The sequence below is a fragment of the Homo sapiens genome, chromosome 10 (genome assembly GCF_000001405.40).
Source record: "Homo sapiens chromosome 10, GRCh38.p14 Primary Assembly".
NCBI lineage: Eukaryota > Metazoa > Chordata > Mammalia > Primates > Hominidae > Homo > Homo sapiens.
The window spans coordinates 22,259,854-22,281,013 of NC_000010.11; the positions used below are offsets into that span (position 1 = coordinate 22,259,854).

A 21,160-nucleotide genomic window follows, 5' to 3' on the forward strand; every position below is an offset into this window, starting at 1 on the left:
GGGGAAGACCTACTTCCTATACCTGTTTTTAAAATCTACTTTTCTAAAATGTAACATTACTTCATGTATTCCTTTTAACAAGTTTATGAGGAGGGTGTTATCAAACCTATTTTATACCAATGCAAGCATTTGTTCTCAGCTAAACTAACAACTCACATTTAGCCAGGTCTTGTACAAAGTGTGCAAAGTACTTTAAATTCAAAAACTCTGGGAAGTAGGTAAACTATTAGGACATTTTACAGAGGAAGACAGGCTTGGCATCATTAATAAAGTGACAGATACTTACAGATGTTACTGATGGTCTCCATGTTGTCAAATCCAGAGGATTCTTCCCTGTCATGGTCTTACTTAACCACCTAGCACCAGGCAACCCTCTTTGACTGACACCACAACTGCTCGCTCTTTTTTCCTATCTCCTTGATCTTTTTTTCTGTCTCTTTCTTCTTCTTCTTCTTTGTTTTTTTTTTTTTTTAACCAACTCTAAAGGAAGCAGCTCCTTAAGACAGTCGTGGTCTTCTTCTCCGTGTTCTCCACCCTCTTTCCATGGATGTCCCCAAACATTCTCATAGCTTCTATTACAATCTGTATGCCTACAATAACAACACTTATGCCTCTTTCACAAATCTCTTCTCTGAGCATCAGTTAATGATCCAACAATCTACCTGAAGCTACAACCACCTGGTAGATGCTTCAGAAGTGTCTAAAAATCACATAATATTCCAAAGCTGAATCCTTGACCTTCTGCCTACAATGCAGTGATGGCATGGCATCACCCTTTATCTGGCTGTGTAAGTCAGAAACCTAGAAGTCATTCTTCTCTTTAAGATGCCTGTATCTGATCCATCAGCAAGTTCCAGCAATTTCATTCCAAATATATCCTATCTTTCTAATTTTCTCTATCTTAACAGCAGCCATACTTTTTTTTTTTTTTTTTTGAGACATGGTCTCAGTGTGTCACCCAGGCTGGAGTGCAATGGCATGATCATAGCTCACTGCAGCCTTGACCTCCTGGGCTCAAGCCATCCTCCCACCTCAGCCTCCCAAGAAGCTGGGACTACAGGCATGCACCACCATGCCTGGCTAATTTTTTAATTTTTTGTCGAGACAGGGACCCACTATGTTGCCCAGGTTGATCTTGAATTCCTGGACTCAAGTGATCCTCCCACCTTGGCCTCCCAAATGCTGGAATTACAGGTGCGAACCACCACACCTGGCCTGACAGCTGCCATATTAGTTCAAGCCAACATCAACTTTTCCAAAGGGGTCTCCCCTCTGCCTTGTCCCTGAAATCTGTTCTTCCTCAAACTATTGTAAACATTTATTCCGTTTTTTAGCAAAATTTTTACCAAAATATTACGGAATAAATTTTACAGAAAAAGTGCATAAATCATAAATATGCAGCTTGTTGCTGTTTTATAACCTGGACACCCCTGTATAACCAGCACCTGGATCGTGAAATCGATCAGCACCTCAGAAGCACTCCCTCATTCTCCCTCCTAGTCATCACCCCCACAGGGACCCATTCTTCTACCTTCTATTGCCATCAATTAGTTTTGCCCATTTCTGAACATTATATAACTGGTATCAATAGTTTTTAAATACAAATTATGACACAACTGCCTAAACCTCTCAGAGGCTTTCTTTACACTGATAGTAAAATACAAACATGTTACTGTAGTCCCAATACTATCTGTCATCTACATACTTCCTTAGGTTCATGTCCTGTCATTTCTCCCATTTTCTCAATATACTCCAGCTCACTTGTTTTTTGTTTTTGTTATTGTTTTTGGGTTTTTTTTTTTTTTTTTGAGTCTCCCTCTGTTACCCAGACTAGAGTGCAATGGTGTGATCTCGGATCACTGCAACCTCCACCTCCTGGGTTCAGGCAATATCTCCTGTCTCAGCCTCCCGAGCAGCTGTGATTACAGGCGCCCACCACCAAGCCCAGCTAATTTTTGTATTTTTAGTAGAGACGGGGGTTTCACCATGTTGGCCTGTCTGGTCTCGAACTCCTGACCTCAGGTGATCCACCCACCTTGCCTTCCCAAAATGCTAGGATTACAGGCATCTAGGTCTTCTTTTTATTCCTTGGATATGCTAAGAAATATCCAAATGCCTTGACACAGGGTCTTTGCATATGCTGTTTCCTCTGCTACAATGCTAGTTCCAGCATAGCTGGTTTCTTCTTGCCCTGAAATTCTCACCTTAAACATTACTGCCCCAGAGAACTTTCCACGGCCATCATATCCCATTTACTTATCCCACCCTCCTGTCATGGGAGCTGTGTATCAGGGATGGTTAAGTGTCTTTTGTGGCTTGGCAAATGAGAGGCACAAGAAGGTTTTAGCCGCTGTGCACACGTACAATTTGTGGGCTTATTTGATTTGGTTAAATTTGGTTAACAAGAAAAGTGGAAGAATTAGAAAAGAGATGTCAAACAGAGGCCAGGTTCAATGGCTCATGCCTATAATCCCAGCACTTTGGGAGGCCAAAGTAGGAGGATGGCTTGAGGCCAGGAGTTCAAGACCAGCCTGGGCAACATAGCAACACCTCATCGCTACAGAAAGCTTTTTAAAAAATAGCCAGGTGTGGTGGGTGCATGCCTGTAGTCCCAGCTACTCGGGAGGCTGAGGCAGGAGAATGGCATGAACCTGGGAGGCGGAGCTTGCTGTGGGCCGAGATCGCGCCACTGCACTCCAGCCTGGGCGACAGAGCAAGGAGCAAGACTCCATCTCCAAAAAAAAAAAAAGAGAGAGATGTGCTGTTGCAAGTCCTGGTTTACTCTCCTCCACCTCACACAACATGGGCCCAGGCCTGGGGAGGAAGGCTGCAAAGGTATCTTCCTTAGAAATCGTTCCTTAGTTTCACAGAATGCTTCAGTTTCAGTGGGATTTTTGAATGAAATGCCTCATATAGAATTTAGGTTTCCCCTTAGAGAAAATAATGTCTGAGGTCTGGGGAGGTGGCTCACACCTGTAATCCCAGCGCTTTGGGAGGCCAAGGAGGGAGGATCGCCTGAGATCAGGAGTTTGGGATGAGCCTGGGCAACATATTGAGACGCCAACTCTACAAAAATTTTAAAAATTAGCTGAGCATGGTGGTACACACCTGTAGTTCCAGCTACTTGGGAGGTTAATGTGGGAGGATCGTTAGAGCCTGGGAGGTTGAGGCTGCAGTGAGCCATGATTGCACCACTGCCCTCAAGCCTGGGCAATAGAACAAACCCTGTCGAAGGAAGGAAGGAAGGAAGGAAGGGAGGAAGGGAGGGAGGGAGGGAGGGAGGGAGGAAGGGAAGGAAGGAAGGAAGGAAGGAAGGAAGGAAGGAAGGAAGATAATGTAATGCCTGAGATTATTCATATGAAAGTATTCCATGAGCCCCAAAAGCTTGATCTCATGTAGTATAAGCTTGGAGAGAACACAAAAGTGTAATTATTTGTATTTACAGTATAAAAGGTAGTAGAATTTGTTCCTGTTTGGGGTTTTGGTTGGGCTGTTTTGGTTGGGCTGTTTTTGTTGTAAAAGGCAGAGCCTGGCTCTGGTTCCCTCAGCTCACTGAGGTATGAGTTTACAGGGGACAGAGGCCATGTTAGCTTTGTCTGTCCTCGAAGTTCTTCCAGATGGATTCGCTGACTCCCTGATTATCACTGGTGTTGGCTACTGAGGCTCATCTTGCCACTGCTGCAACCCAGGCTTCCTCCTCCTGCCACCCAGTGCTGGGCAGGAGAAGAGGCCCTTGGAAAGAATATTCTACCGTCAGGGACCATGGCCTGGCTCTTTGTGCTCAAGCCAGTTACTTGATTTGCCATTCCCCGCTCAGGACCTACCTGGAGGCTCTCATGGCATTTCTCTACTCCAGGTTGGAGTGCAGGGGTGCAATCACGGCTCGTTGCAGCCTCGATCTCCTGGGCCCACACTGTCTTCCCACTTCTGCCTCCTGAGTCACTGGGACCACAAGTGCGCACCACCACACCTGGGCTGCTTTTTAAATTTTTTGTAGAGACAGGGTCTCACTATGTTGCTAGCCTGGTCTCAAACTCCTGGGCTCAAGCGATCTGCTGGCCTCAGCCTCCTGAGTAGCTGGGACTGTAGGTGTGTGCCACCATGCCAGGCTTACCTCATGTCTTTCAAGTTTCACCTTCTGCTGAAGACTGCTTCATTCACGTAAGTTTTTTATATCAATTTTCTTACAGGGGGTGAGGAGAGGGATTTCAATGGCCCGTTTACCCTTCCAAGCCTACTCATGCCAACCTATGAATGTATTGTCCTTCCACCTGGGGCTGGGACAGGGGATGACGAGGCCATGCAATATGTGTTCCCTTTCAGGAGGTACGGGGGGTGATGCATCTTCTTTAGAAGCAACTGTGGTTATAGCAGGCAATGTATTTGACATTCCTAGTTTATTCTCTTCAACAAAAGTAAAGCCCTAGCAATGTAAGAATAGATACAAAATATATACAGTCATGTAGCTTTTTTACTTGATATTTTTAAATATCAAAGTGCTAGGATTATAGAATATATTATAGAATATATAGATATAGATAGATAGATGATAGATAGATAGATACATAGATAGATGGATATGGGCTAGATGCAGTGGCTCATGCTTATAATTCGAGCACTCGGGGAGACCAAGGAGGGAGGATGGCTTGATGCCAGGAGTTCTAGATCATCCTGGGAAACACAGTGAGACCCCCACCCCGACCACCATCTCTACAAAAATAAAGTAAAATACCAAGCGTGGTGAGCCACAGCTGTAGTCCCAACTATTCGGGAGGCTGAGGCAGGAGGATTGCTGCAGCCCAGGAAGTCGAGGCTGCCATGAGCTGTGATTGCACCACTGCACTCCAGCCTGGGCTACAAGCGAGACCTCATCTCTAAAAAAAATTTTTCATTGAAAAAATAAGATATTCTTTTTTAAAAAATAGCTCTGATTTGAAATGCTTATTTGATCCAGCTGTGGAGCATTATTTACTGACTCAAGAAGTTAATATATTCTTTAGAAGTATTAGTATTCTAATAGTCTATTCCTGCAAGCAGTAAAAACCAGAACATAATAGTTTAGTTTTGTACACCTGGACTTTGATGGAAAAGAGGCTTGGGAGATGACAAGGCATGGAGAGGCTGCTATATGTTCCAGCTGCAGTGTCCAGAATAGATGTTAGGAATTTCCAACTGTCTTCTGCATTATTTAACATGAATTTAACCCAACTTTTCCTTTGGCTCAATGGAAAACAGGTTTTAAGGGAGCAACAAAAGTGTTTTTATCTTCCTTAGGTATTTCTGCAGCAGTGAGAGTAGGAATTTTCCTACCTTCTGAATTAAAACAAGATTACACATTTCCATCAGTCATATCTAGCAAAAAACATAGATGGCATCCTTGATTTCTTCCATCCCCTTCTCTCCCATTTTCAGCCAACCCATCGTCAAGTCCTGATGGTTCTAGTTCCAAAACATATCCTGAGTCTGACCGTGTCTCTGCATCTTCACAGCTAATACCTCTGTCCTAGCCTGGCTGCTGCAATAGGCTCTAGATTAGGAATGCATCCAGCAGCAAACAGAAAGTTCAACTCTGGCTGTTTTAACAAATAAATGTTTATTCGTCTCAAATAAAAATAGTCCAGGGGAAGTCAATCCAGGTCTGGAGCAATGGCTCAACAATGCTATCGGGGACCCAGCTCTATCTTTCCTATTATCCTTAATGTGTTGACTTTTGTTCTCATACTTGTCACCTCACAGTCTCCATGTGGCTGCTACATAGCCAGGCATTGCATTTGGGCTCCAGATAGGAAGAAGGGTAAGGACAGAGAATGATTTCCTTCAGAAGTTATTTTCTGTCTATTCAGGAAGGGAAGCCCTTGCCAGAAGATACCAACTCACATCTCATCAGCCAGAACTGGGTCCAAACTAATTCTTAGACCAACCAATATCCAAAGGACTAAAATTACTGGGGTGGTGATATGGTTTGGCTGTGTCCCCACCCAAATCTCATCTTGAATTTTAGCTCCCACAATTCCCACATGTCATGGGAGGTACCCAGTGGAAGGTAATTGAATCATAGGGTCAGGTCTTTCTCATGCTGTTCTCAAGATAGTGAATAAGTCTTCTGAGATCGGATGGTTTACTTATAAAGAGGAGTTCCCCTGCAAAAGTTCTCTCTCTTTGCCTGTTGCCATCCATATAAGATGTGACTTGCTCCTCCTTGCCTTCTGCCATGACTGTGAGGTCTCCCCAGCCATGCCGAACTGTGAGTCCATTAAACCTCTTCCCTTTATAAATTACCTAGTCTTGGTTATGAGTTTATCAGCAGCATAACAACAGACTAATACAGGTGGGATATAGTAGACTCATTGCACAATATCTCCCCCAGCCTTCTTCTACTGTGCCTTCCTGTACTGAGAAGCTAAAAACTACCTTTCCCAGGCTCCCCTGCAGCTAGGGAATGGAGCAGAGTGGGGAGAAAGGTAGGGTACACCTGTCTATTTTGTTGATGTCAATTAGCAGAGGTAGGGTGGTGTGGAGTGATTAAATAGGTGCTTCTTTACGTCTTCTTTGTAAGATGATTTGAGTCATTATTAACTCCATTAAGTTTGTCACATTTTGGCTTTTGTCTCCTGCTATTTCAATAAAAACTGTTGCGAAATTAAGTAACCCACAATAGAGCACTTCATAGCATATATGGTTGATGAGTGGTGCCTGAAGCAAGATAAATTTCTTTGGTCTCAGAATCACAAATTACCAGGCTTCTTTCTCCAAGGGCACAGCTACTGCTGCTGGTAATGGTGGTGGTATGTGTGATTTCTCTAAATCACCTAGGCACTGAGAATTACAACTAATGGTGTTTTTTTCCCTCTTGACTCTTAAGAAGTTTTAAGGCAAATGCATGGATTTTTCCTGAAAGTATAGTCTTCTTTGTATATATTTTGTGTGATAACCTCTCTTCTGATTCTGTCTTTTCTACTCTTATTTCCCTTTTTCTTGGTTCCCTTACTTATTTTTATTTCACTTTGTTGCATATGTTTTTTTCCACATGGCAGAAACCCTTTCTGGAAATAGATAGGATTATAAGACTATGTCTGCTAAAGGAGAAAAACTATTAAGTAAAGACATCTGGCTCCTTTCCAACTTGGGCCTGGCACAATGGCTGCTGCAAAGAAGGGTGGAAAGAAGAAAGGCTGTTCTGCCATCAGCAAGGTGGTGGCCCAAGAATACACCATCAACATTCAGAAATGCATCCATGGAGTAGGCTTCAAGAAGTGTGTCCCTTGGGCATTCAAAGAGATCTGGAAATTTGCTGTGAAGGAGGTGGGAACTCCAGATGTGCGTGTTGATACCAGGCTTGACAAAGCTGTCTAGGCTGAAGGAATAAGGGTGTCCCATACCCACCCATGTGTGGTTATCCAGAAAACGTGATGAGGATGAAGATTCACCAAATAAGTTCTATACTTTGGTTACCTATGCACCTGTTACCACTTTCAAAAATCTACAGACAGGCAGGATACGGTGGTCATGCCTATAATCCTAGCACTTTGGGAGGTTGAGGCAGGCGGATCACTTGAGCTCAAGAGTTTGAGACCAGCCTGGGCAACATGGTGAAACCTTGCCTCTACAAAAAAAACACAAAAAATGCCGGGCATGGTGAAACCCCATCTCTACTAAAAATACAGAAAAATTAGCTGGGCATGGTGGCCCACGCCTTTAATCCCAGCTACTTGGGAGGCTGAGGCAATAGAGTTGCTTGAACCTGGGAGGTGGAGGTTGCAGTGAACCGAGATTGTGCCACTGCACTCCAGCCTGGGCAACAGAGTGAGACTCCATCTCAAAAAAAAAAAAAAAACCCAGGTGTGGTGGCTCACGCCTGTAATCCCAGCACTGTGGGAGGCCAAGGCGGGTGCATCACCTGAGGTCAGGAGTTCTAGACCGGCCTGGCCAACATGGTGAAACCCCATCTCTACTAAAAGTACAAAAATTAGTTGGGTGTGGTGGCATACATCTGTAATCCCAGCTACTCGGGAGGCTGAGGCAGAAGAATCGCTTTAACCCAGGAGATGGGGGTTGCAGCAAGCCAAGATCACACCACTGCACTCCAGCCTGGGTGACAGAGCAAGACTCCGTCTCAAAAAAAATAACCAAACACACACACACACACACACACACAATTAGCTGGGCATGGTGGCACACGCCTGTGGTCCCAGCTACTCTGGAGGCTAAAGTGAGAGAATTGTTTGAGATTGGGAGGTCAAGCCTGCAGTGAGCCGAGATGGCATCACTGCACTCCAGCCTGGGCGACAGAGCCATATCCTGTCTCAAGAAAAAAAAAATTATAGTCAATATGGATGAGAACTAAGCAGTGATCGTCAAATACATGAAATAAAATTATAAAACCACAAAAAGTAAAGACATCTGAGCTCCCAAATTAGAAAAACTATCACTAATGCTACATATCATAAATAAAAATTGGGGAATAGACACTTTATGGCTATAAAATAATGTTAGTAGAATATTTTAAGTTGGTCTCAAACATGAATCTCTACTTTCTTTCTCAAAAAGAACAAAAAACAAAAACAAAAAAATACAGACTTTCCTCCATATGCTTGCCATAAACTATGAACAGGATGAGTGTAAAAGATGGTCAGTATTGGCCTTAAACCATATTACTATAGTGAGAAAGACTCCACACATCACAGAATTTAACTGGACATGTTTGCACCAACACTTTAAAGAAGATAAATGCATATAGAAATGTTCCAAACACTGGTAGACAGCACTGCCAGGTGAGAAACCCACACCCAAATGACAGCAGTGATTTCTGAGATGATTTAGAGTGGGACCACAAACTAGACTGTGGAGCGATGTGTGGGCAGCAGGCAGTGGTTGCACACAGCCCTGCTCTGACTGCAGCGTCCTGGCCCCAACCAGAAGCTTCCCAGGCTGCCATATTTTTAAAACTAGATGAGATTCCTTTACAGCATTTGAAGGATTCTGCTGTTGTCAAGCCAGTTAAAAATGTGATTGGCCATCCAATTAACAAATTCAAAAGCACAGAAATGTCTGTTTTATGAAATGCAATAAGACGCAATGATTCAGCCTCATGGCTTTCTAATCAGAGCAAAATTTTTACCCCAAATAGTAATTAACCTGCTTCATCAAGTTTGTTTACTAAACACAGTTCCTCTAAAAGGTTTCTGCTTCCCATTCCACTCCCAGTTCAAGTTCATTCTCAAACGCATTTATTAGCATTGAGTCCATTCAAAAGAGTGAGCTGAAGGCCATTTAAGAGGCATTCTCTTAAAATGAGAAAATCTCAATTTTGAGTAAAGGAGAATTATTGAATAAGGGAGTAACCTGTTGGAGACTTCCCTCCTTAAAATCAGTCCTTGCTTCTCCAACGCATTCACAATAAATTCCAAAACCCGGCCGGGCATGGTGGCTCACGCCTGTAATCCCAGCAGTTTGGGAGGCTGAGGCAGGCGGATCATGAGGTCAGGAGTTCGAGACCAGCCAGTTTGAGACCAGCCTCGCCAACATGGTGAAACCGCATCTCTACTAAAACGACAAAAATTAGCCGGGCATGCCTGTAATCCCAGCTACTCGGGACGCTGAGACAGGAGAATCGTCTGAAGCCAGGAGGTGGAGGTTGCAGTGAGCTGAGATCACGCCACTGCACTCCAGCCTGGATGGCACAGCAAGACTTCATCTCGAAAATAATACTAATAAAATAAAATCCAAAACCCTTGGTGTGGCATACACGATTTTTTATTATCTGAACCCTGTTCTTCTCCCTAGCTGCATCTCTGGTCACTCCTCACTGCCCTACAAGATGGGACCATACTGAATTACATGTGGCTCCATAAATACGCCTCACACTCTTTTGCCTCCAGATATCTACACAGTAACCCCAGAACTGTAACCTACCTCCTCTGTCCACTTTTCTTGCCTAACGACTGAGGCCCATGATCTTCACCTCCACCAGGGAACCTTCTTTCACCCCTATTTTTTGGGTACCTCATTGTATCCCATACTCGGTTGTACTCCTTAAGCTGTCCTGAAGTTGTCTGTGTACTCTTCTGGCTCCAACTGTAAGTTCCTTAAAAGCAAGGATTGTGTTATGTTTATCACTACATCTCTAGCACCCAAAAGAGTCCCTGGAACACAGGAGGAGCTAGATACATATTTGTTGAATGAATGAAAGCTATTATTCTGAAGGAAACAATATACTTGCATAAATAGTTTTGCTGTATTTGGGGAAGAAAGTATTAATTTATGGACACAATTTATGTCTTATCAATATTCAGGTTTCCTAAAAAGTACCTAAAAAGTATCATGCAAGTTGGTAATCCTACTACTTGCATTTTTGTCCCACGTCAAATTTATGAAAACTTCATCATAGCTTAAATGAGAAATGTGTAAATCAAAATATTCTTTTAAAGAATAAAAATGCTTTCTAAATAGAGCTCACTATTAAGTTAAAATTTGAAACAACTCTTAGTCATAGTTCCCTGTAGAATAGGAGACTAGCCGGGTGCAGTGGCTCACAGCTGTAATCCCAGCACTTTGGGAGGCCAAGGCAGGCAGATCTCTTGAGGTCAGGAGTTCAAGACCAGCTTGGCCAACATGGTGAAACCCCATCTCTATTAAAAATACAAAAATTAGTGGAGCATGGGGGCACACTTCTGTAATTCCAGCTACTCGGGAGGCTGAGGCAGGAGAATCACTTGAACCCAGGAGGTGGAGGTTGCAGTGAGCCGAATTCACACCACTTCATTCCAGCCTGGGCGACAGAGCAAGACTCCATCTCAAAAAAAAAAAAAAAAAGCAAACTGGTTGTATTTTTATTTTCTAAAGAGTGAAGGGCTCTTTTGCAAGCTGAGAAGAAAAATATCAAGAATAAAAGCTGTCAGTCCCTTCTCTGACCTGATGTTGATAATAATGATGATGATAATAATTTGTCATTGTTAAATGTGTACTAGATACCAGGCACTTTAAATTACTGAATTACTTCATTCAGTTCTTACAACAGTACTACGATTACCTTCATTTAAAGATGAAAAAATAAGTTTTGGAGAAAAGATTCATGCACCTGTGCACACTCAGTAACTAGCAGACTCAAGATTGAAGCCCAGGCAGTCTGACATCAGAGCTTAGATCTTTACTGACTTCTGGAAAATGAAATCTCACATTAAGAAACATAAGATGCTGGCTGGTGCAGTGGCTCATGCCTGTAATCCCAACACTTTGAGCGACCAAGGTGGGAGGATTGTTTGAGACCAGGAGTTTGAAACCAGCCTGGGCAACATAGCGAAACCCCACCTCTACCAAAAATAAAAATAAAAATGTTAGCCAGGCATGGTGGCGTGCACACTTCTGTAGTCCCAACTACCTGAGAGGCTGAGGCAGAAGGATCACTTGAGCCCAGGAGTTTGAGGCTGCAGTGAGCCCTGATGGTGCCACTGCACTCCAGCAGCCTGGGTGACAGAGTAAGACCCTGTCTTAAAAAAAAAAAAAAAAAAGAGCTACGTCTGAGTTTTGGTGAACTCCTACTCTATACATTATATAACATTACCAGTTATTGATTAGAACATGGTCTAAAACTGGGTTTTCTGGGCTTCCATTCAATGGGTTTTAGTTATGAAAGTATTAGAAATTATGTTCTATATTGTTTATCTACTGCTGCAAAACAAGTTACCTCCAAACTGCAGCAGCTTAAAACGACATTCTTTATCTCCCAGCTTTTGAGACTGGGGACTCTGGGGGCTGCATAACCAGGAGGGCAGTTCTGGCCCAGAATCTTCCATGAGGTTACAGTCAAGCTGATGGCCAAGTCTATTTCAAGGGTCTACTGGTGCTCAATGACTCCCTCGTGCAGGTGGTGGGAGGCCTCCATTACTTATGGGATGCTGGATTGGGCCCCAAACTAATCAAAGAGGAAGACTTCCCTGAGTTCCTTACAGCACAGGCCTCTCCATAGGGCAGCTCACAACATGGAGGCTGGTTTTCCTCTGAGTGATCCTTGAGGCAGCCAGAGACGGGGCAGCCAGAGACTGGGCAGCCAAAGGGAAGGAAGCAGCAGTCTTGTAAACCAGTCTCTGAAGGGATGCTTCATGGCTTCTACTCTGTTTTAGTCATTGGAACTGAGTCACAAAGTCCTGCCCCGACTCAGGGGATTTTGCAAAGGCATGACTACCAGAAGATGAGGGTTACAGGGAGCCATCCTAGAGGTTGCCTACCACACATGCTCTTTTTATTGAAACAGGGTCTCCCTCTGTCGCCCAAGCTGGAGTGCGGTGGCTCAGTCATAGCTCACTCACGGCAGCTCCCAACTCGTGGGCTCAAGCGATCCTCTTGCCTCAGCCTCCCAAAGTGATGGGATTACAGGCATGAGCCACTGCACCTGGCCCCCCACATGCTTTAATATGCTAAAAAGAGAGGAATGTCTTAGTTTCATCCCTAAGTTCTAGGTTTCCATTTGTTAGTGTTGGCTTTTTCTCTTTAATGAAATGATTAAAAGATTAGAGCCAGGCACAGTGGCTCACACCTGTAATCCCAGCACTTTGGGAGGCCAAGCTGAGGTCAAGAGTTGGAGACCAGCCTGGCCACAAGGTGAAACCCCATCTCTACTAAAAATACAAAAATTAGCCAGGCGTGGTGGCACATGCCTGTAATCCCAGCTACTTGGGAGGCTGAGGCAGGAGAATCGTTTGAACCTGGAGGCAGAGGTTGTATCAAGCCAAGATTGCACCACTGCACTCTAGCCTGGGCAACAGAGTCTTGCTAAAAATAAAATAAAATAAAAATTCGATAGACTTCAAAGATAAATCTTAGCTAATGAAAGAACCCTTTAACTAGAAGACAAGACTGGAAAGATAAGTAAAATTTAAAATATTTTCAATTCACAGTTACATCACAACACTAGTAAATTTCTTCACAAATATTACATTCTATCCCGCCCACCCTCCTTTTTTTTTGTTTGTTTGTTTGTTTGTTTGTTTGTTTCTGTAAAGACAGGGTCTCACTATTTGCCCAGGCTGGTCTAGAACTCCTGGCCTTGAACTATTCTTCCGCCTTGGCCTCCCAAATCGCTGGGATTACAGATATGAGCCATTGCACCCAGCCCCATTGCACCCAGACCCATTATCTCCTCACACAGTTCAAATGTAGGTCTAAGCTATATTGGGTCCCAATATAGCTTGCACTATATAAGAAATAAGCAAAGAGCACTTTAAAATAACTGTAGGGTGTCAATTCCTGGATACAATTGGGTGTCTCTCATACTTCTATTTTATGTCTAATTTCTGAAATCAGTATGACAAGTATCAAGGCAGAGACTCCTTCAGAACAATCTCAGAAACATATATTTAAGATAAATTTGAGAACAGGAGTGTTACGGTCTTAGATAATACTATTAATCCTTTTAAAGGTATTTTAAATTAGCTGTTTTAAAGATAAGAGAAATATACACTTTAAACCTAGTGGTTAAAATGAAATGGTGATGTTTCCAAATTTTAAATCATTTTGGAATGTCACATATTTTCATGCTTGGAAACTCAGTCTCTATAACTTACAATGACATTATCAGAATAAGTAATCTTTTGTTCTGCAAGTTTATTAATGACCATGACCAAAAACCTTAAAATTCTGATCTGGAATAGCATGAATCTCATTCATAAGTGTGGATGTATGAGTCCGTATAAGGGACTATAAGACGTTTGCCCTTGACATTTTTTTTTAATAGTGCCACTCATGCCAGGCTGGAGTGAGTGGCACGATCTCAGCTCACTGCAACCTCCAACTCCTTGGTTGAAGCGATTCTCCCGCCTCTGCCTCCCAAGTAGCTGGGATTACAGGCATGTGCCGCCACGCCTAGCTAATTTTTGTATTTTTAGTAGAGACGGGGTTTCACCTTTTTGGCCAGGATGGTCTCGATCTCCTGACCTCATGATCTGCCCGCCTTGGCCTTCCAAAGTGCTGGGAATACAGGCGTGAGCCACTGCGCCCAGCCAGCTCTTGATTTATTATAAGGTGAAAATTATACACGCTTCTGAATTTTTTCTAATTAATCAGTTAGTCATTATTATCAACTGACATGTAAGTTTAACCCATGAATCCTAAAGTCAAAAAAATAATTCTTTTCTTTTTCCTATTGCAGAAAATTTGTTAGCATAATTTTTTCCAATTGTGAAATTCTTAACAGTATTGTAAATGTTATAAACATGTTGCAACTCCAGAACCTAATGCTGCACCTAGAACACGGTAAGCTTTTCCAGCTTCATCTGTGAGCTCCAGAAATCAAACCTGAACTAAGGCTTTTCCAGGCTGATAAAAATTTGCCATTTTTATAATAATATTTTTATGATGATAATAGAAATTTAGACTTAGTTTTGACTTTCACAGGAAAGGAAAATATTCTCTTCCTTATGTCACCTAATTAGATAGTCATCTTGTATAAAAGCTATGAAAGTTTTACAATACTATTTGGAAAAACAAAAAGAATTACATGTTGAACACTTTTATTGCTGTTAATATCCAGTCATGTGAAGCCTCATTAATTTACATCTTGTGAGTTTTGAGTTTGCTATAATTGTTACCATAAATGTATTTTCACTTTCACCTTTCTTTTTTTTTTTTTTTTTTGAGATGGATTCTCACTCTATCGCCCAGGCTGGAGTGCAGTGTCGTAATCTCGGCTCACTACAGCCTCTGCCTCCCAGGTTCAAGCAATTCTCCTGCCTCGGCCTCCCACGTAGCTGGGATTACAGGCACCCATCAACACACCCAGCTAATTTTTATATTTTTAGTAGAGACGAGGTTTCTGTCCAGGCTGTTTCATCTGGCCTATTTTCACCTTTCAATTATCTATTAAAAGGGCTTATAACTATTTCTTACATATAAATTAGATTCCACATAAAAATGTTTTTAGGCTGGGCATGGTGGCTCATGCCTGTAATCCCAGCACTTTGGGAGGCTGAGGCAGGTGGATGGCTTGAGCCCAGGAGTTCAAGACCAGCATGGGCAACATGGCCAAATCTCATCTCTAAAAAAATACCAAAAAAAAAAAAAATAGCTGGACATGGTGGCACGTGCCTGTAGTCCCAGCTAGTGGGGAAGCTGAAATGGGAGGATCACTTGAGCCCCTGGAGGTCAAGGTTGCAGTGAGCTGTGATCATGCCATTGCACTCCGACCTGAGTGACGGGAGCGAGACCCTGCTCAAAAATAAATAAATAAATAAATAGTGTTTTTACACTTCAGATAAACTTCTTGGACTCTGTAAGTATTTTATTCAGGAGCACCTATGCTTGCAGCATACAGTAGTCTCCAAAGGATTGCTACCCATCAATATTTATCAACTTAGCACTGAGAGAAACTGTCTTAGTGAAGATGCATTTCTTTACATTGTAATTGAGTCTTGCATAGCCTTCTTCATAATTTATCTGGTTTTATTTTCTAAAAAACTTGACATTATTATTCAATAAAATATGTTGACAAAATCTATAATTCAAAAAAGGCTTCATTTCTGACAAAAGCGGATTACCAGGCTTTTCTAAATAGTGTAAAATTAAGTTTATCAAATTGTCTTCAATTTCTAATTTTAAGCTGATTTTGTATGTTAAGTGAATTTTCAAGAAAGAGTTATCAAAGTATGGTTTTGTTTTTATTTTCATTGCAGAGGGATCATATCCCCAGAAATCACTTTAAAATTGGCCAGGTGCAGTGGCTCACGCCTATAACCCCAGCACTTCGGGAGGCCGAGGCGGGGAGATAACCTGAGGTCCAGAGTTAGAGACCAGCCTGGCCAACATGGTGAAACCCTATTTCTACTGAACACACAAAAATTAGCCGGGGTGGTGGCAGGCGCCTGTAAACCCAGCTACTCAGGAGGCTGAGGCACGAGAATCATTTGAACCCAGGAGGTGGAGGGTGCAGTGAGCCAAGATCGTGCCTCTGGACTCCAGCCTGGGTGACAGAGTGAGACTCTGTCTTAAAATAAATAAATAAATAAAAATAAAAATAAAAATAAAATTGAGTGATATAGGTAGACAATAGGCATTCAGTTCATTTCAAAATGATATGAAAAATAAAATTAGATGTATATGTTACCTAAACAAAATTTTAAAAACAAATTAGTTTATATTTCACTCAGAGTTAAAGAATATACTTCTGCACCCAACCAATCCATCCATCAATAAGTACCTACTGAATATCTATTATGTACCCAGCCCTTGACTAGGCTGCTATTTGGTGATTATGTAACTATAACTAACCATAATTAAATATCAGTATATAAATATATATTCCTGAATTCAAACAGCTTATAATTTAGTTAGGTACAAACAATTAAACAGCAGAGATCATTTTAAATGAAATTAAGTTACGAAAAGCATTGTAAATTATAAATGCAGTTTCAGAAAGAAAGCAATTAATAAGTGCCAATGTTCTACCATAAAATTACAAGGAGAGGGTGAATTTCAAGTAGGCACTTAAGAGATGAATAGGATTTCCACAAGAAACTTAGAGCAAAAAGGTGGTATCAGCTGGAGGAAGAGAAAAAACAAAATAACAGGAGTGGGAGTTAACAGGGCTCACTCCCATGCAGTGAGGAGTCTAACGGGATAGGATTGAAGGTTCTTCTTGGGAGTGGGAGAAGTTACATTTCGATAGCCACAGGAGGAATTCACTGAAAAACGACACAGAGGAATTCAGATTTGACACAGAAAGGAGTAGAGGCCCACCACAGGTTCTCAAGCAAAAGAGTAACAGTGAGAGTATATTTTAAGGAAGCTTTCCACCATTGTCTTAAATAGAAGTGTAACTAATGAAATAATTAGGAGCCTCTTATTTGGCAAAGATGTTAAAGAAGACAGAAAAATAAAAGTAGAATCACTTAATTTCTGTTTTCTCAAGTTCAATTACATTGTCTTTATTCCTTCCAAAAGAATAAAGATGGCTGGGTGCGGTGGCTCACGCCTGTAATCCTAGCACTTTGGGAGGCTGAGGTGGGCAGATCATATGAGGTCAGGAGTTCGAGACCAGCCTGGCCAACATGGTGAAACCCCATCTCTACTAAAACTACAAAAATTAGCCAGGCATGGTGGCAGGTGCCTGTAATCCCAGCTACTTGGGAGGCTGAGGCAGGAGAATCACTTGAACCCGGGAAGCGGAGGTTGCAGTGAGCAGAGATTGCGTGACTGTGCAACAGAGCCAGACTCCATCTCAAAAAACAATAATAATAAAGATTTGAAAATAAAACATTAGAAGGAGAGCGAAGTCCAAAACAAGTGGGAAGAGTGTAACAAAGGACCTATTTCCACAATGCCATACGCAAAAAATGTTGATTGAGTGCCTTCTACTTGCAAAGTACTTGATATGAGGCTATGGAACATAAACCAAATCCAGTTCATGTGTCCAAGGAGCTTACAAGATAGAAGTGTTAAGGAATGTGGCTTGGTGCAGTGGCTCACGCCTGTAATCCCAGAACTTTGGGAGGCCAAAGTGAAGGAGGCCAGGAGTCTAAGATCAAACTGAGGAGCACAGAGAGATCCTAACTTTACAAAATAAAATTTTAAAAAATTAAAAATTAGCTGGGTATGGGATTCCACGCCTGTAGTCCCAGCTACTCAGGCAGCTGAGACAGGAGGGTTACGTGAGCCAGGAGTTCAAGGCTGCAGTGAGCTATACGTACACCACTGCACTTCAGCCTCGGCGACAGGGCAAGACTGTGTCTCAAAAAAAAGTGTTAAGGAATGTGTATCAGACATTTTTATAAATGTCATAACAGAGGTGCAGGTAAAATCCTGTGATCATTCACAGAAGAATAAAATCACCTTTCAGATACAGGATTCGGATCAGGTTTCATGGAAGAGGCAAAACTTTTTGTAAATCTCAAAATGGGTATGTTGTCAGAATGGAATGGCAAAAGAGCCTGGAAAAAGTAATGTTTATTCTGTGTGGTCTGTGTCTGCTAAAATTCCAGAGTTACTGTAGAGAAAGGGAGAGAATGGATTTGGGAGCCAATAGCAGTGTCTGCCACACCTGGCTCATATGTATACAGACTGCAGCAGGAAGGCAACGTCTGGCTACGATGCACAATACATGTGTGTCCTTGGTATAGCTCCTTAGCAGGAATATTCTGGCTAGTAAAATAACAGAGTTACTCAGGTGGGATAGCATGGTTGTTAACGGTGGAGGGTGTCCAGGTTCTTGGCATCTTGAACAAAGAATTCGTCAAAACGCACAAACAAAACAAGGAAGGAATGAAGGGATTACTGAAAATGAAAGTACACTCCGGCCGGGCGACGTGGCTCACGCCAGTAATCCCAGCACTTTGGGAGGCCGAGGTGGGCGGATGACGGGGTCAGGAGATCGAGACCATCCTGGCTAACATGGTGAAACCCCGTCTCTACTAAACATACAAAAAAATTAGCCGGGCGTGGTGGCGGGCGCCTGTAGTCCCACCTACTCGGGAGGCTGAGGCAGGAGAATGGCGTGAACCCGGGAGGCGGAGCTTGCAGTGAGCCGACATAGTGCCACTGCGCTCCAGCCTGGGCGACAGAGCGAGACTCCATCTCAAACAAACAAACAAAAAAGAACGTACACTCCACAGTGTTCGAGCGGGCAGCGGGAGTGAGCATAGGGGCACAAAGGCCCTGTTACAGTTTTTGTGAATTTAAATTCCCTCTACTTAGGGTACACCCTATGTAAATGAAGAGGATGAAGTGAAGTTACAAAGACATTTCCTGATTGTATGCCCTATGGAGAGGATATTTCCTGTTATAGCTGAAGTGTGAATCTGGCCTTAGCTTTCCTGCATCCAGACCCTATTTTCCCGCCTCATGGTGAATGTGTTATGAGGTTACTAAGATGGGGAAGAGAGGAGAACAGAAATGTATCTAACAGAGGGACAGACCTGAAGAAGTGGAGAATATCTTGTGAGATTTCCCCCACCTTTTTCATTCTTGGCTATGCCCTGTCGCCTGCCGAGCCTCTTTTCATATTCGGTCTGGAATGCTGAAACCTCCTTTTCCTCATTCCCTTTGTTATCTCTATATCTTGTTCCCTAGAAATAAAGATTTGAACTTTAGCATGAGCTGTACTTTTGCTACAGACCTTCTATTATCCAGCTACAGTGTTGACATACTTAATCTCCTTTAATGGGACAAGTAATGAACTCAATTAGCTGGAAAACCTCCATGCAAAGAGAAAAGACAACTCTTACCATATAATTCACAGACATTTCCCTTGATTCACATTATTCCTGCATTAAAGACCTTCTATGACCCCGAATATCAGTTGGTTACTCGCTAAAACTGACTGTAGAGCAATTTCGCCTTAAGCAGATTTACTTAACGAAACACTAATATGTAATTAACTGGACTGAGAATTTGATTTGCATACTCTCAAGGAACAATTTTTTATTATTTAAAAACAAAACACTTGACATTCTAGAAGGGGCTACAAAGACATCCCCAAAGGTCAATTAGTCCTACAACTGATTACCTAAATATTTAATAGCACTCAAACACAGTACTAAATGGGCTCTAATTTGTTTGTGAAAAGAAACAATGCCACTTTACACACGGCTGCCAAGTTTTCAGTAAACAAAGAGAATATGGTCTTGGGAAACTGATGAATCTAGTTTAAAAATGCGACAAGATCCTCCTGTGCTCCTTCCAAACATGGCAGTGATTTTCCACTAATTTTCTTCCTGATGCTTTTTTCCTTTAAGTCTACATGTTGATGCACCCCAAGGCTCAGTCTTTGAATTGGTCTCTTTCCTAGGTCGTTCTCAAGTAATCTCTAGGCTTGACAAACTTCCTCTGTATTGACAGCTCCCAATGTTATACCTATAGCTCACACCTCCTCCCTGAACTGCAGTCTCAAATATATCCCTGCCTATACAGCATGGCATGAATATCTAGCGGGCATCTCAAATTTACTGTGTCCCAAATGGAACTTCTGATTTTTCCCCCAGATAAAAACTGTAAATCCCACTCTCTTCCCCATCTCAATAAATGGTAACTCCCTCCTTCCAAATTGCTCAGGTCCAAAGCCTTGGTGTCATCCTTGGCTCTTCTCTCTTCTCCTGCACCCCCACATGTAACCTGTGAGGAGGTCTTATTGGTTCTACCTTTATAACCTATGCAGACACCAATCCCTTCTTACCACCTCCATCATGACGTACACTGCCATAATCGCTCCCCTAGATTCTTGCAATAGTCTCCTAACTGGCTTTCCTACTTCAGCCTCTCCTCCAACCCTTATACCTAATGTCTACTTTGAATAGAGCATCCAAGAGGATCCTTTGAAAATCTCCTCTGCTCAAACCCTTCCAGTGTATTCCCATCTGGGATAGAGTCAAAGTCTTCGTGGCTGTCTCAAAAGTCCTCGACTGGTCCCCCGCTGTGCTCTGCCTGGTCCCCCGCTGTGCTCTGCCTTGTCCCCCGCTGTGCTGTGCCTCTGCTCTGGCCACAGGGGCTTCCTTGCTATTCTTCCAACACTCCAGGTGTACTCATTCCTGGAGATCTTTGCCATTGTCGCTTCTCTACCAGGAATACTCTTCTCCAGGTGTCTTCCTAGATATCTTCAGGTCTTGGACTAAAAGTCACCTTCTCAATGAGTCTTTACCTGACTAGCTTATTTAAAATTGCAACTCCCACTTTCACCCCAGCACTATCTTCCATCCCTTCTTTACTTTTATCTATCGCACTTCTCATCTTCCAATATATATTTTACTTATTTATTTGTTTATTGTCTGTCTCCCCTCACTAGCAGGTAAGTTCCATGAAGGCAGATAATTTTGTTGGCTTTAAACACCTAGAACAAAGCTTGGCATAAAGTAAGTACTCAATAGATTAATGTTAAATTAATAAATAAGTAAACAGTGATTATTTATGACTAACTAGGGGAAAAATATAATTAACAAGGATGTTTTCATGAAGGATAGACTCCCTAAGAGCAGTCACTATACCTTTTCCTTTTTTTTTTTTTTTTTTTTTTTCGAGACAGGATCTCGCTCTGTCACCCAGGTTCCTGGAGTGCAGTGGTACAATCACAGCTCGTTGCAGCCTCAAACACCTGGGCTCAAGCGATCCTGCCTCCTCAGCCTCCAAAAGGGCTAGGATTATAGGTGTGAGCCACCATGCCTGGCCATTTTCCTTCTTTTTGGCT

General features: G+C 42.5%; 1 pseudogene, besides 2 other annotated features; it reads left to right on the plus strand.

Moving 5' to 3' along the window:
* On the plus strand, nt 7,137–7,352 carry RPL31P45 (ribosomal protein L31 pseudogene 45; annotated as a pseudogene).
* Nucleotides 19,913–20,414: an enhancer, noted in NCBI's record as "NANOG-H3K4me1 hESC enhancer chr10:22568695-22569196 (GRCh37/hg19 assembly coordinates)". NCBI's record gives its function as "activates a minimal SCP1, AML or CMV promoter by ChIP-STARR-seq in naive H9 embryonic stem cells {active_cell/tissue: H9 hESC(naive)}" and the evidence as "EXISTENCE:reporter gene assay evidence [ECO:0000049][PMID:30033119]".
* Nucleotides 20,415–20,914: an enhancer, noted in NCBI's record as "NANOG-H3K4me1 hESC enhancer chr10:22569197-22569696 (GRCh37/hg19 assembly coordinates)". NCBI's record gives its function as "activates a minimal SCP1, AML or CMV promoter by ChIP-STARR-seq in naive H9 embryonic stem cells {active_cell/tissue: H9 hESC(naive)}" and the evidence as "EXISTENCE:reporter gene assay evidence [ECO:0000049][PMID:30033119]".